Below are 12,702 nucleotides of genomic sequence, written 5' to 3'. Positions count from 1 at the left end.
TAGCAAGACTCCGTCTCAAGTAAATAAATAAATAAAATAAATCAGGTCATGTTGTTATTATTATTTTTGTCTTTTTATTTTTTGTAGAGACAAGGTCTCGCTATTTTGCCCACGCTGGCCTAGAGGTCCTGGGCTCAAGCGATCCTCTTTCCTCAGCCTCCCAAAGTGCCAGGATTACAGGTGTGAGGCACTGCGCCCAGCCTGGCTGCTATGATGATTAGGAATAACTCTGAAGTCTATGAAGGGTGCAGCCCCTCCAGCCTAGGGGTGGGGGATATTTGCAGACATGGACTTTCTTTGAACAGATAGGGAAACTGAGGCACAGAGAATGGAAGTGTCTTCCCAGAGGTCACAGAGCACCTTGGCAGCAGAGCTGGGACCAGAGATCAGGGGAATGACCTCCTTCCACATCTCTGTGAAGAACTAAAGTCAGATGGGGGTTATGGGCAGGGAGTGAGCCCTTTAAATCCTAAGCTCCACCTTTACTTAGAAGAGTCTCTGGGCGTTATAAAAGGGGATGCAGCTCCCTTCTGCTCTGGGAAACGCCTGCTGCTCTTGCCCTTGCCCACGGGCCCCCAGCCCCAGCCCCTCTCCTGTGGCCCACCACCCCTGCTTTGGTGCCATGCAGCTGCCACCCTTCGACATGTGGAAGGACTACTTCAACCTGAGCCAGGTGGTGTGGGCGCTGATCGCAAGTCGGGGTCAAAGGCTGGAGACCCAAGAGATTGAGGAGCCAAGTCCCGGGCCTCCGCTGGGGCAGGATCAGGGGCTGGGGGCGCCAGGGGCCAACGGGGGCCTGGGGACCCTGTGCAACTTCTGCAAGCACAACGGGGAGTCCCGCCACGTCTACTCCTCACACCAGCTGAAGACACCGGATGGCGTGGTGGTGTGTCCCATCCTGAGGCACTACGTGTGTCCCGTGTGCGGGGCCACCGGTGACCAGGCCCATACGCTCAAGTACTGCCCGCTTAACGGTGGCCAGCAGTCCCTCTACCGCCGCAGCGGGCGCAACTCGGCCGGACGCAGGGTCAAGCGCTGAGCATCGTGAGATGCTCACCACCCGCACCCCTGACCCTCCTGGTCCATCCCACCCAAGTCCCTAAACTCTCTCTTCCAGTCACCCAGCCCTTTGGAATTTCTGGCCCCCAGAACTCCACCCTGGCTGGATCCTGAAACAGTGGAGGCTGCTGGGAGCCAGGCCAGCCCCGCCCCCTTGGACCTGTCAGCCCTCGGAGCTCTGGCCTGTGGGCGTTGGCCTGAGGGTCCTTGGTGCCGCGGGAACCCTTCCTGCACGGCCCTGTAGCGCCCTCTGGGCCCCGGTTCATGGATCTTTTGTCCTCGTGGGGCCTGCTGGTGACTGGAGCCCTGCCCCTTCGACTTCTCTGTTCCTTGTGGAGTTCTTGGATTTTTGAACCTCCAGGATTCCACGGTGCTGTCCCAAGCCAGCCCTTAGGAGATACTGAACAAGGCTGGCTGAGAAGTGCCTACTCAAGAACTTCAAGATGGGATGTCGACTTAAGACCAGCCTTCTCCATCTTCAGCCTCCTGCAGAACCACGGTGTCATCGTGGACCACGCCTGTTCATTCCTTCCCTGACCTCAGTACCCATCCGTCAGGAGCGGAGTAGGACTCTGGAGAGCACCGTATCACTGGAGGGCACCGTGTCTTCGCAGGCTCACCTGTGGATGGAGAGCCGTGGGGTGAGCTGACACCTTTCAATGCCCCCTGGTTGTTCTTCCCCTTGTTCAGCCCATTGCACCCGGTACCTGCCCCCATCCCCAAATCACCGATGGGTCCTTTCCCCCAGCGAGAAGCATATCTCTCGACCACCTCCCGTCCGACCCCCCAAATCGTGATAGTTGACTAAAGGACATTTTTTTTTCCTCCTGTGTTTTTCAACCTCCAACGTTCAAGTCAAGGAACCGCCGATAAGAAGGGGGTTTGAGTACCCGGATGGGAATGGCAATGGCCTAGCTTTTATTTTAGGGGCAAAGAGAAGAAGGGCCCCCGTCAGATTTTAAGTTGTTCAGTTTTTGGCACAGGGTCGGGACCCTGAGTATTGAGCTCTGGTGAATAAAAAGGTTTTCTAGTCGTCTTTGAAATGGCTGTATCTGTTTCCGTCTTTGGTTTGTTTGTGAGACAAGGTCTTGCTCTGTCGCCCAGGCTGGAGTGCAGTGGTGCGATCTTGGCTCACTGCCCGGATTCAAGTGATTATCCTCCCTCAGCCTCTTGAATAGCTGGGACTACAGGTGCGCCCCACCACGCCTGGCTAATTTTTTTTTTTTTTTTTGAGACGGAGTTTTGCTGTTGTCGCCCAGGCTGGAGTGCAATGACGCGATCTCGGCCCACTGCAACCTCTGCCTCTCGGGTTCAAGCGATTCTCCTGCCTCTCAGCCTCCGGAGTAGCTGGGATTATAGACATGCACCACCACGCCTGGCCATTTTTGTATTTTTAGTAGAGACGGGGTGACCGAGTAGGCGGGACTACAGGTGCACGCCACCACACCCAGGTAATTTTTATTTTTGGTTTTTGTTTTTTCTTTTTTGAGATGGAGTTTCGTTCTTGCTGCCCAGGCTGGAGTGCCAATGGTGCGGTCTCGGCTCACTGCACCATTGAACCTCCCAGGTTCAAGCGATTCTTCTGCCTCAGCTTCCCAAGTAGCTGGGATTACAGGCGCCCACCAACACGCTCGGCTAATTTTTTTTTTTTTTTTGTATTATTAGTAGAGACGGGGTTTCACCATTTTGGCCAGGCTGGACTCGAACTCCTGACCTCAGGTGATCCGCCCACCTCGGTCTCTCAAAGTGCTGGGATTGCAGGCATGAGCCACTGCGCCTGGACTTTTTTGTTTGTTTGTTTGTTTGTGATGGAGTCTCGCTCTGTCACCCAGGCTGGAGTGCCGTAGCCCGATATCGGCTCACTGTAACTAACCTCTGCCTCCCGGGTTCAAGCGATTCTCCTGCCTCAGGCTCCAGAGTGCCTCACACCTGCCTAATTTTATATATATACATATATATTTTTTTAGTGGAGATGGGGCTTCGCCATGTTGGCCAGGCTGGTCTTGAACTCCTGACCTCAGGTGATCTGCCCTTCTCGGCTTCCCAAAGTGCTGGGATTACAACGTGAGCCACTGCGTCAGGCCTCTGTTTCCATCCTCTCATCTGGCTTTGTCCTCAGCGGCTGCGTGAAGGAGCAGGTAGCTGCATTGGCCAGATCCAACACGGGGAACACGGAGGCAGGACAGGAAGGGGCTTTGGGTTCCCCTCCCAGCCGGCCCCTGATACATCCGCCACCTATGAACTGGCTCTCAAATTCCTCCTGTGCCTTTGCCTTGATCCCCATTCCCTTTTCATGTCATGTCTATGGGTTTCTCTGGCCCTGTGAACCCCCGGGATCTTCCAGGACCGGCTTTTTGGTAATTCTTAAACTTTGAGCTCCCAGACCCCATTGGCGAGGTGTTGAAAATTGTGGTCCCTGCCCTGTGCAGTGGCTAACGCCTGTAATCCCAACACTCGGAGAGGCGGAGGTGGGAGAATCACTTGAGACCGTGAATTTGAGACTAATCTGGTCAATATAGTGAGAACCCGTTTCTACAAAAAATACAAAACAATAGTCAGGCATGCTGGAGTCTTGCTTTGTTGCCCAAGCTGGTCTCGAACACTTGGCTTCAAGCGATCCTCCCATGCCTGTTGGGATTACAGGTGTGAGCCACTGCGCCCGGCCCGTTTCCCTTGTTTTAAACCACTCAGTTTGCAGTACCTTGTCATGACAGCTACAGGAAAGGAATGCACTGGGGCTCTGGGGAGGCATCCAGGGAGTCTGGACTGAAGTAGGTGCGTGTCAAAGTCCGGCCTGGAGCCTGTGAGAAGGCTGCATGCAGAGAGTTATGGGAAGAGGTACAGAGAGCTTTGCTGCTGTGGACAGGTCGAGGCCAGGTGCAGGACAGCTGGTCATTCTCCTGCATCTGCCCCATTCCTGCAGTTACCTCCCATGAACCTGAGACCAGGCAGGCAGGCAGATGGAGAGCACACAGGGCAGCCTCCTGGGCTCAGAGAAGATACAAAGAGGCAGAGTGGGCATGCAGGGGCCACTGGAGACTTGTGCGTGGCGCCCGTGTGCATCAGACACCATCTCGCCCACCCCTGAGGAAATCAGAGAAGACAGCAGGGAGACTCCATGCAGAGAAGCAAATGCTTCAGAACGGCCTCTTCCCTCCAGCACCACTTTGGGCTTAGGAGAGAGAGTAGGGGAATAGTTCTACACCCACAAAGAACCAGGGCAGGAAAATTAGATCCACTAAGGATAGACCTAGAGCCTCACAGAGTCCCCAGTGTGCTCTGAAGTATATAAGGCCAAGGCTTTGTCTCTGCACCTCACACTCCCACAGTGGCCAAGAGTGCCTACCACTGTGTTGGTCTCTGAAACTGGATTTGTGCACACGTGGGGTTCCAGGGGTTCTGGTGAGTGGTGACCATAGATTAGAGCCTATTTCCAATGCTAACCAGTATCTGGCCCATTCTAGAGAATTTTATACAAAGGAAGGGAAAAGATTGCACTTTTTTTTTTTTTTTTTTTTTTGGGACAGAGTCTCAGTCTGTCACCCAGGCTGGAGTGCAGTGGCATGATCTCGGCTCACTGCAACATCCACCTCCCGAGTTCAAGCAATTCTCCTGCCTGCCCAGCTTACCAAGTAACTGGGACTACAGGCATGCGCCACCACGCCCAGCTAATTTTTGTATTTTTAGTAGAGATGGGGTTTCATCATGTTGCCCAGGCTGGTCTCGAACTCCTGACCTCAAATGATCTACCTGCCTAGGCCTCCCAAAATGCTGGGATTACAGGAGTGAGCCACTGCACCCAGCCAAGATCGCACTATTAACAAAAGTCTTTATTTTTAATTTGTACTAAGAATGTTGAGAGATCACTTTTAGGTTTATCATTCAGTTTCTCCTTCTCTCTGCCCTCCCGCAAAAAGTCTTGCTCTGTCACCCAGGCTGGAATGCAGTGGAGTGGTCATAGCTCACAGCAGCCTCGAACTCCTGGCCTCAAACAATCTTCCCTCCTAGGCCTCACAAAGTGCTGGGATTACACACATGAGCCACTGTGCCCGATCCAGATTCTCTCTTAACGTGTCTCTCCATCTGTCGTTTTTGCCTTCTTCTTCCGCCCTCCTTTCTTTCTCCTTTCTCCCTCCCCACATTCCTTCCTTCCTTCCCTTCTTTCCTTCCCTCCTCCTTATCCAGTCCAAAACAGAAATCTCACATTCATTAGGAAATCCTCTTGGCTCTAGCTTCAACATCCATCCCAAATCTGACCATCTCTTCTCCAGCACACTACCTTCCAATGCCCCACCACCTCTCACCCAGAGTACTGCAGTCACCTCCTCAATGATCTTCCTGCTTCTACTCTCAACCCCTAAGGGTATATTTTCAGGCTGGGCACAGTGTCTCATTCCTATAATCCCAGCACTTTGGGAGGCCGAGGCAGGTGGATCAGTTGAGGCCAGGAGTTCAAGACCAGCCTGGTCAACATGGCGAAACCCCGTCTCTGCTAAAAATCAAAAATTAGCCAGGCATGATGGTGCACACCTGTAATCCCAGCTACCTGGGAGGCTGAGGCACAAGAATCTTTGAGCCTGGGAGGCGCAGGTTGCAGTGAGCCAAGAAGGCGCCACTGCACTCCATCCTGAGCAACAGAGGGAGACTGTCTCAAAAAAAAAAAAAGTATATTTTATTTTCTTTCTCTCTTTTTTTTTTTTTGAGATGGAGTCTCACTCAGTCTCCCAGGCTGGAATGCAGTAGCATGATCTCGGCCCACTGCAACCTCCATCTCCCAGGTTCAAGCAAGTCTCCTGCCTCAGGCTCCCGAGTAACTGGGATTCCGGGTGACCGCTATCACGCCTGGCTAATTTTTGTATTTTTAGTAGAGATGGGGTTTTGCCATGTTGACCAGGCTGGTCTCAAACTCCTGACCTCAAGTGATCCACCTGCCTCGGCCTCCCAAAGTGTTGGGATTACAGGTGTGAGCCACTGTGCCCAGCCAAGAGTATATTTTCAAAACCCAACAAAAGTGATCCCATTAAAACACAAGCCAGCTCATCTCCCTCCTCTGCTCAGAGCCCTCCTGTGGTCACTGTCTCACTCTGACTAAAAGCCAAAATCCTCATCTCAGCCCACAAGGCCCCACACAATCTGCCTCTCACCCAAGTCTGGCTCTTTTCCCACCCTCTCCCGTTTGCTCAGTCTTCTCCAGCCACTTTGGCCTCTAAGCTGTTCCCCGAACACTTCTGGAACATTCTGGCCTCGAGGCCTTTGCACTCACCCTTCCGGCTCCTTGGACAGCTCTTGGACCAGATACTCACATGGCCTACTCTGCCACTTCTTGCAAGCCTTTGCTCAAAGGCCGCCACCTCCCCGAGGCCTTCCCACCCACATATTCCTGATCCCTCCAACCCATCTCTACTTTTCTTACCTCCTTAGCACTTACCACCATCTAACATGCCACATGGCTGAGTTGTTTATTATGTCTCTGGTTGCAATGGTCAGTTTCACATGTCAGCTTGTCTAGACCGCTGTCCCCAGTCATTCAGTCAAATATGAATCCAGCTGCTGCTGTGAAGATATCTCATAGATGTGATTAAAGACTATAATTAGTTTACCTTAAGGAAGGAAATTTATCCTAGATAATCTGAGGGGGCGGTGGCTCATACCTGTAATCCCAGCACTTTCGGAGGCTAAGGCAGGTGGATCCCCTGAAGTCAGGAGTTCAAGACCAGACTGGCCAACATAGTGAAACCCTGTCTCTACTAAAAATACAAAAATCAGCCAGGCATGGTAGCATGCACCTATAGTCCCAGCTACTCGGAAGGCTGAGGCAGGAGAGTCACCTGAACCCGGGAGGTGGAGGTTGCAGTGAGCCAAGATCGCACCACTGCACTCCAGCCTGGGTGACAGAGTGAGACTCTGTCTCGAGTAATAATAATAATAATAGGCCAGTGCAGTGGCTCACGCCTGTAATCCCAACACTTTGGGAGGCCGAGGCAGGCGGATCATCTGAGGTCAGGAGTTCGAGACCAGCCTGACCAACATGGTGAAACCCCGTCTCTACTAAAAATACAAAAAAATTAGCTGGGCATGGTGGTGGGCGCCTGTAGTCCCAGCTACTCGGGAGGCTGAGGCAGGAGAATTGCTTGAACTGGGGCAGCGGAGGTTGGCAGTGAGCTGAAATCGTGCCACTGAACTCCAACCTGGGCGACAGAGCAAGACTCCGTCTCTATAAATAATAATAATAATCTAAGTGGGCCTGCTGCAATCAGTCAAAAGGTTTTCAGAGCAGAGCCGAAGCTTCCCTGAGGAAATTCCGCCTGTAGACAGTGGCTTCAGTTCACGCCCAAAGCTCCAGCCTGCACTTTCCGATGGTGCCCTGTGTATGGATTTTGAAGTTGCTTAGCCGGCCCTACAATCCTGTAAGCCAATTCCTTGCAACAGATCACTTCATACATACCCCCTACTGGCTCTGTTCCTCCGTGTTATCCCTGATTGAAGTGAGCTACTTCCTGTCCATCCACCATCCCCAGCTAGAAAGGAAGCTCTGAGAGTGGAGTTCAGTATTTTATTCACTGCTGTATCCCAGGTGCCTACGGCCAGCACTTTTTTTTTTCTTTTTTTTTGAGACAGAGTTTCGCTCTTGTTGCCGGGCTAGAGTGCAGTGGCACCATCTCAGCTCACTGCAACCTCCGCTCTGGTTCAAGCGATTCTCCTGCCTCCACCTCCCAAGTAGCTGGGATTATAGGCGTGCACCACCACACCCGGCTAATTGTGTATTTTTCGTAGAGACGGGGGTTCACCATGTTGGCCAGGCTGGTCTCGAACTCCTGACCTCATCATCCACCCGCCTCAGCCTTCCAAAGTGCTGGGATTACAGGCATGAGCCACCATACCTGGCCCCTTCTTTTTTTTTAAGACAGGGTATCAGCCAGTGCAGTGGCTCGCACCTGTAATCCCAGCATTTTGGGAGGCTGAGGCAGTAGGATCACTTGAGCCCAGGAGTTCAAAACCAGCCTGGGTGATGTAGCAGGACCTCATCTCTATCTTTTAAATTAAAAAAAAAAAAAGAAGAAAAGAAAAGACAGAGTCTCGCTCTGTCGTCCAGGCTGGAGTGCAGTGGCAAGATAATAGCTCGCTGCAGCCTGAACTCCTGGCCTCAAGCAATCCTCCTACCTCAGCCTCCCAAAGTGCTGGGATTACAGGCATGAGCAACCAGGCCCAGCCCTAGGGCAGCACTTGATATGCTTGTTGCATCCATTTCTTTTAGCATTAAAACAACACAAAACAAAACAAAAATTTAGCTTCCACTCCGCCTCTGCCTCCAGCCCTCTTCCACATACCTGATGGGTTCCTGGATGCTCTTCCTCATTCCCCAAACCTCCCCAGGCCTTTCATACCCACCACATCCCAAACCACTTCAGCATCTTACCCCCACATCTGCTACCCCTCAAGTCCCCATCTTGGCCGGCCCTACCATGTAATGTACCCTGTCTCCAGGGCCAGAGATCTAGGCTTTTTCCCTCACCCCTCACAGCCCATCAGGTTCCAAGTCCTGTCCATTCTTCCTCCTAAATATCTCTCCTTGCAACTTCCTAAGTATTTTCCTGGACTCACTAATGGGTCAAGATTCACAGTTTTGGCTGGACTCAGTGGCTCACGCCTGTAATCCCAACACTCTTGGAGGCTGAGGCCTCACAGAGGATTGCTCAAGCCCAGGAATTTGGGACCAGCCTAGGCAACACAGTGGGATCTTGTCTCTACAAAAAATTTTAAAACTTAGCCGGGCATGATGGTGTGTGCCTGTAGTTCCAGCTACTCTAGAGGCTGAGGTGGGAGGGTGAGCCTGGAAGTTTGAGTCATGATTGCATGATTGTACCACTGCACTCCAGTCTGGGTCATAGAGCAAGTCTCTGTCTCAAAAAAAAAAAAAAAAAAGGACTCACAACTCACAGTTTTGAAAATGTGGCCCTTCGCCAGGCACAGTGGCTCATGCCTATAATCCTAGCACTTTGGGAGGACAAGGCAGGTGGATCATCTGAGGTCAGGTGTTTGAGACCAGCCTGGCCAACACGGGTGAAATCCCATCTCTACTAAAAAAAAAACAAAAATTAGCCAAGTGTGGTGGCGTGCCCCTGTAGTCCCAGGTACTCAGGAGGCTGAGACAGGAGAATCGCTTGAACCAGGGAGGCAGAGGTTGCTGTGAGCCGAGATCGCACCATTGCTCTCCAGCCTGGGCGACAAGAGCAAAACTCCATCAAGAAAAGAAAAGAGGCAAGACAAGAAAGAAAATGTGGCCCTAGAAAGCCTTCCCTGACCCACCCTCACCCCAGGAGTCTTGCCCTCTGACTTCCTGCATCCAGCTTCCAGCTACCCACATCTGTGGAGCTCCATACCCCACTGCTGTGGCTCTCCACCTCCCACCGCCTCGTGAACCCAGAGCCAGGTTTAGACTCAACTCTCTGCCTGGACTGCCATGGAGGCAGCAGCTCCCTGAATGCAGCTCCCCGAATGCCTTCCCGGGGTCCCCAGTGCATTTGTTTCCTGTGGCTGCCATGACAAGGTACCGCAAACTGGGTGGTTTAAAACGAGAAACGTGGCTAGGCACGGTGGCTCACACCTGTAATCCTAGCACTTTGGGAGGCCGAGACAGGCGGATCACCTGAGGTAAGGAGTTCAAGACCAGCCTGGCCAACACTGTGAAACCCCGTCTCTACTAAAAATACAAAAATTAGCTGGGCATGGTGGCATGCGCCTGTAATCCCAGTTACCCGGGAGACTGAGGCAGGAGAATCACTGGAATCCGGGAGGCAGAGGCTGCAGCGAGCCGAGATCGTGCCACTGTACTCCAGCCTGGGCAACAGAGCAAGACTCCATTTCAAAAAAAAAAAAAAAACAGAGAGAGAGAAACGTATTGTCTCCCAGATTCACCAGGCTGAAAATCCGAAATCAAGGCATGGGCGTGGCCTCACTCCGGACAAGGCTCCAGCGGGTGATCTTTCCTGGCTTCTTCCAGCTTCTGATAGCACAGGGCCTTCCTGGGCTTGTGGCTGCGTCACCCCCGTCTCCACTTCTGTCACCATAGAATTGTCTTCCCTGTGTGTCTCCTCTTCTTATAAAGACACCGGGAATGAGGAATGACGGGTCCACCCTACACTGGTATGGCTACCTCTCAACGAATTCCCTCTCCAAGGACCCTATTTCCAAATAAGGTCACATTCTGAAGCACTGGGGGATCAGGACTTCAGCCTCTCTTTTTGGGGGAAACAGTTCAACCTGTTGGTCACTTTACACTCACGTATCTTTTTTTGATTGTGTTTTTTTTGTTGTTGTTCTTATTTTTTTAATTTAATTTTTTTTTGAGGCAGAGTCTCACGCTGTCCCCCAGGCTGGAATGCAGTGGCGCAGTCTCAGCTCACTGCAAGCTCAGCCTCCCGGGTTCATGCCATTCTCCTGCCTCAGCCTCCCGAGTAGCTGGGACTTCAGGCGCCTGCCACCACTCCCGGCTAATTTTTTGTATTTTTAGTAGAGACGGGGTTTCACCATGTTAGTCAGGATGGTCTCAATCTCCTGACCTCGTGATCCACCTGCCTCGGCCTCCCAAAGTGCTGGGATTACAGGAATGAGCCACTGCGCCCGGCCTTTTTTTTAATTTTTTTGAGACAGAGTCTCACTCTGTCGCCCAGGCTGGAGTGCAGTGGTGAGATCTCGGTTCCCTGCAATCTGTGCCTCCTAGGCTCAAGAGATTCTCCTGCCTCAGCCTCCCGAGTAGCTAGGATTACAGGCACATGGCACAACACCCAGCTATTTTTTTTTTTTTTGAATTTTTAATAGAGACAGGGTTCCACCATGTTGGCCAGGCTGGTCTCGAACTCCTGACCTCAGATGATCCACCTGTCTCAGCCTCCCAAAGTGTTGGGATTACAGGCGTGAGCCACTGCACCCAGCCTTACATTCACCACATCTTACCTGACCCCACACCCCCAAGTGAGAACCTGGGCCAGAGACTTGGGTTTCACCTAGACATCTTCCTTTCCCTCGCTAGCGCGACACTCACCATGCTTTCCATATATTCTCTCAAATGTCTCTCCGTGTCCCCCTTGACACTGTCCCTGTCTTAGTTTAGTCTCCCCTCGCTTTCCTAATCCTTTTCTTACCCCTGCTCATGACTTTTTTTGACTCTACCCAGTAGTCTTGCTCCCTCCCACCCACCCTCCACACAGCAGGCAGAGGGGCCTTTTTTTTCTCTCTCTCTTCTTTTGAGACAGGGTCTTACTCTGTTGCCCAAGCTGGAGAGCAGTGGCCTGATCATAGCTCACTGCAGCCTGCAACTCCTGGGCTCAAGCGATCCTCCCGCCTCAGCCTCCCAAGTAGCTGGGACTACAGGCATGTATTTTTTTTTTTTTTTTTTTTGAGACGGAGTCTCACTCTGTCGTCCAGGTGGAGTGCAGTGGTGCAATCTCAGCTCACTGCAACCTCTGCCTCCCGGGGTTAAGCGATTCTCGTGCCTCAGCCTCCCGAGTAGCTGGGATTACAGGCATGCACCACCATGCCCAGCTAGTTTTTGTATTTTCAGTAGAGATGGGGTTTCACTGTGTTGGCCAGGCTTGTCTCGAACCCCTGACCTCAGGTAATCCGCCCGCCTTGGCTTCCCAAAGTGCTGGGATTACAGGCGTGAGCTCCACCGCGCCCGGCCCAGGCTACGGATTTTAGCTTTTATGTTCATTGTACCAGGAACTGTGTAAGTGCTCATGTATATTTATTGAGTCGATGAATGAAGCACCAATTGTCGAATGACCTTGAGGACTCCTGCAGGATGCTAACGAACACACTTCTCAGCCGGACTGAGCTCCATCATCCTGCCATGCGGCTCACCCCACCTGCGTTCTGGCTTCATTCCTGTCTCCATGCACTTGCTTAAAGTCGTGCCGGCGTCAGGATCTCCCTTCCTACCAGCCAGGAAGCTCTTCCCTCTTATTTTCCCCGCTCCTCGAGGTAAAGGTGCGCACAGAGGGGCCCCCAAGGCGTGACTGGAAGGCTTGTGGGTCGCTATGGTTACTGCATCCGCCCGGGGCGGGACATCCCCAGGACGCCCAGCCTCTAGGGGTGCGAGGTGGGAAGCTCTGGAGCGGCCCAGCGCAGGGGCGGGCAAGCCAGGAGGCAAAGCGGTTTCCTCACGCCTCCACCCCACCCACACAGTTGTCAAGGAGACAAAGCGCTTCCCTTCAGCGCTGTCTCCCTCCCCTTTGGTTAGAGGGCAGGGTGGGCTGGAAGACTGTCCGAAAGGTTGGGTACTGGCGCGCTCCCAGCATCTCTCCCATCCAAGCTCGCAACGCCTGCGCCGAGACCCGGTACCGGGTACAACCCGAGGCACGCGCATGCGCGCGATGGAGTTTTTGCGCGTGCGCCGTTGTGGCCCCAGGAAGCTGGGGTACCCGCGCGGCGCTAACGTTGCGGCTGCGCAGTTGCGGCCTGCTGGTGGGGCTCGGCGGAGCGCAGTTCTGCGCCTGCGCTGTGCTGGGGTAGGTGGGAATGAAACCCTGGCGGTAAGGGCATTGGGGCCGACTGGCCCTGGGCGCGCCTGCGCCTTGGCATGCGGGGCGGCCGGAGGCGGGGCCGAAAGAGGGGAGGGAGGGAGGCGGGGGGTGGGAACAGGCC

The 12,702-nt window shown here is 53.1% G+C and overlaps 1 protein-coding gene across 1 annotated transcript, besides 3 other annotated features; it reads left to right on the top strand.

Moving 5' to 3' along the window:
• Positions 1-537: 537 nt before the first annotated feature.
• NANOS2 (nanos C2HC-type zinc finger 2) lies at positions 538-2,102 on the top strand. The gene has a single exon (NM_001029861.3). The coding sequence runs from the start codon at positions 623-625 to the stop codon at positions 1,037-1,039; it is 417 nt and encodes a 138-aa protein (NP_001025032.1). The 5' UTR covers positions 538-622; the 3' UTR covers positions 1,040-2,102.
• Positions 12,011-12,090: a silencer, noted in NCBI's record as "silent region_10805". NCBI's record gives its function as "represses an Ori minimal core promoter by ATAC-STARR-seq in GM12878 lymphoblastoid cells {active_cell/tissue: GM12878}" and the evidence as "EXISTENCE:reporter gene assay evidence [ECO:0000049][PMID:35858748]".
• Positions 12,351-12,460: an enhancer, noted in NCBI's record as "active region_14830". NCBI's record gives its function as "activates an Ori minimal core promoter by ATAC-STARR-seq in GM12878 lymphoblastoid cells {active_cell/tissue: GM12878}" and the evidence as "EXISTENCE:reporter gene assay evidence [ECO:0000049][PMID:35858748]".
• Positions 12,651-12,700: a silencer, noted in NCBI's record as "silent region_10804". NCBI's record gives its function as "represses an Ori minimal core promoter by ATAC-STARR-seq in GM12878 lymphoblastoid cells {active_cell/tissue: GM12878}" and the evidence as "EXISTENCE:reporter gene assay evidence [ECO:0000049][PMID:35858748]".

The sequence above is a fragment of the Homo sapiens genome, chromosome 19 (genome assembly GCF_000001405.40).
Source record: "Homo sapiens chromosome 19, GRCh38.p14 Primary Assembly".
NCBI lineage: Eukaryota > Metazoa > Chordata > Mammalia > Primates > Hominidae > Homo > Homo sapiens.
This window is presented reverse-complemented; position numbering and strand designations above follow the sequence as displayed.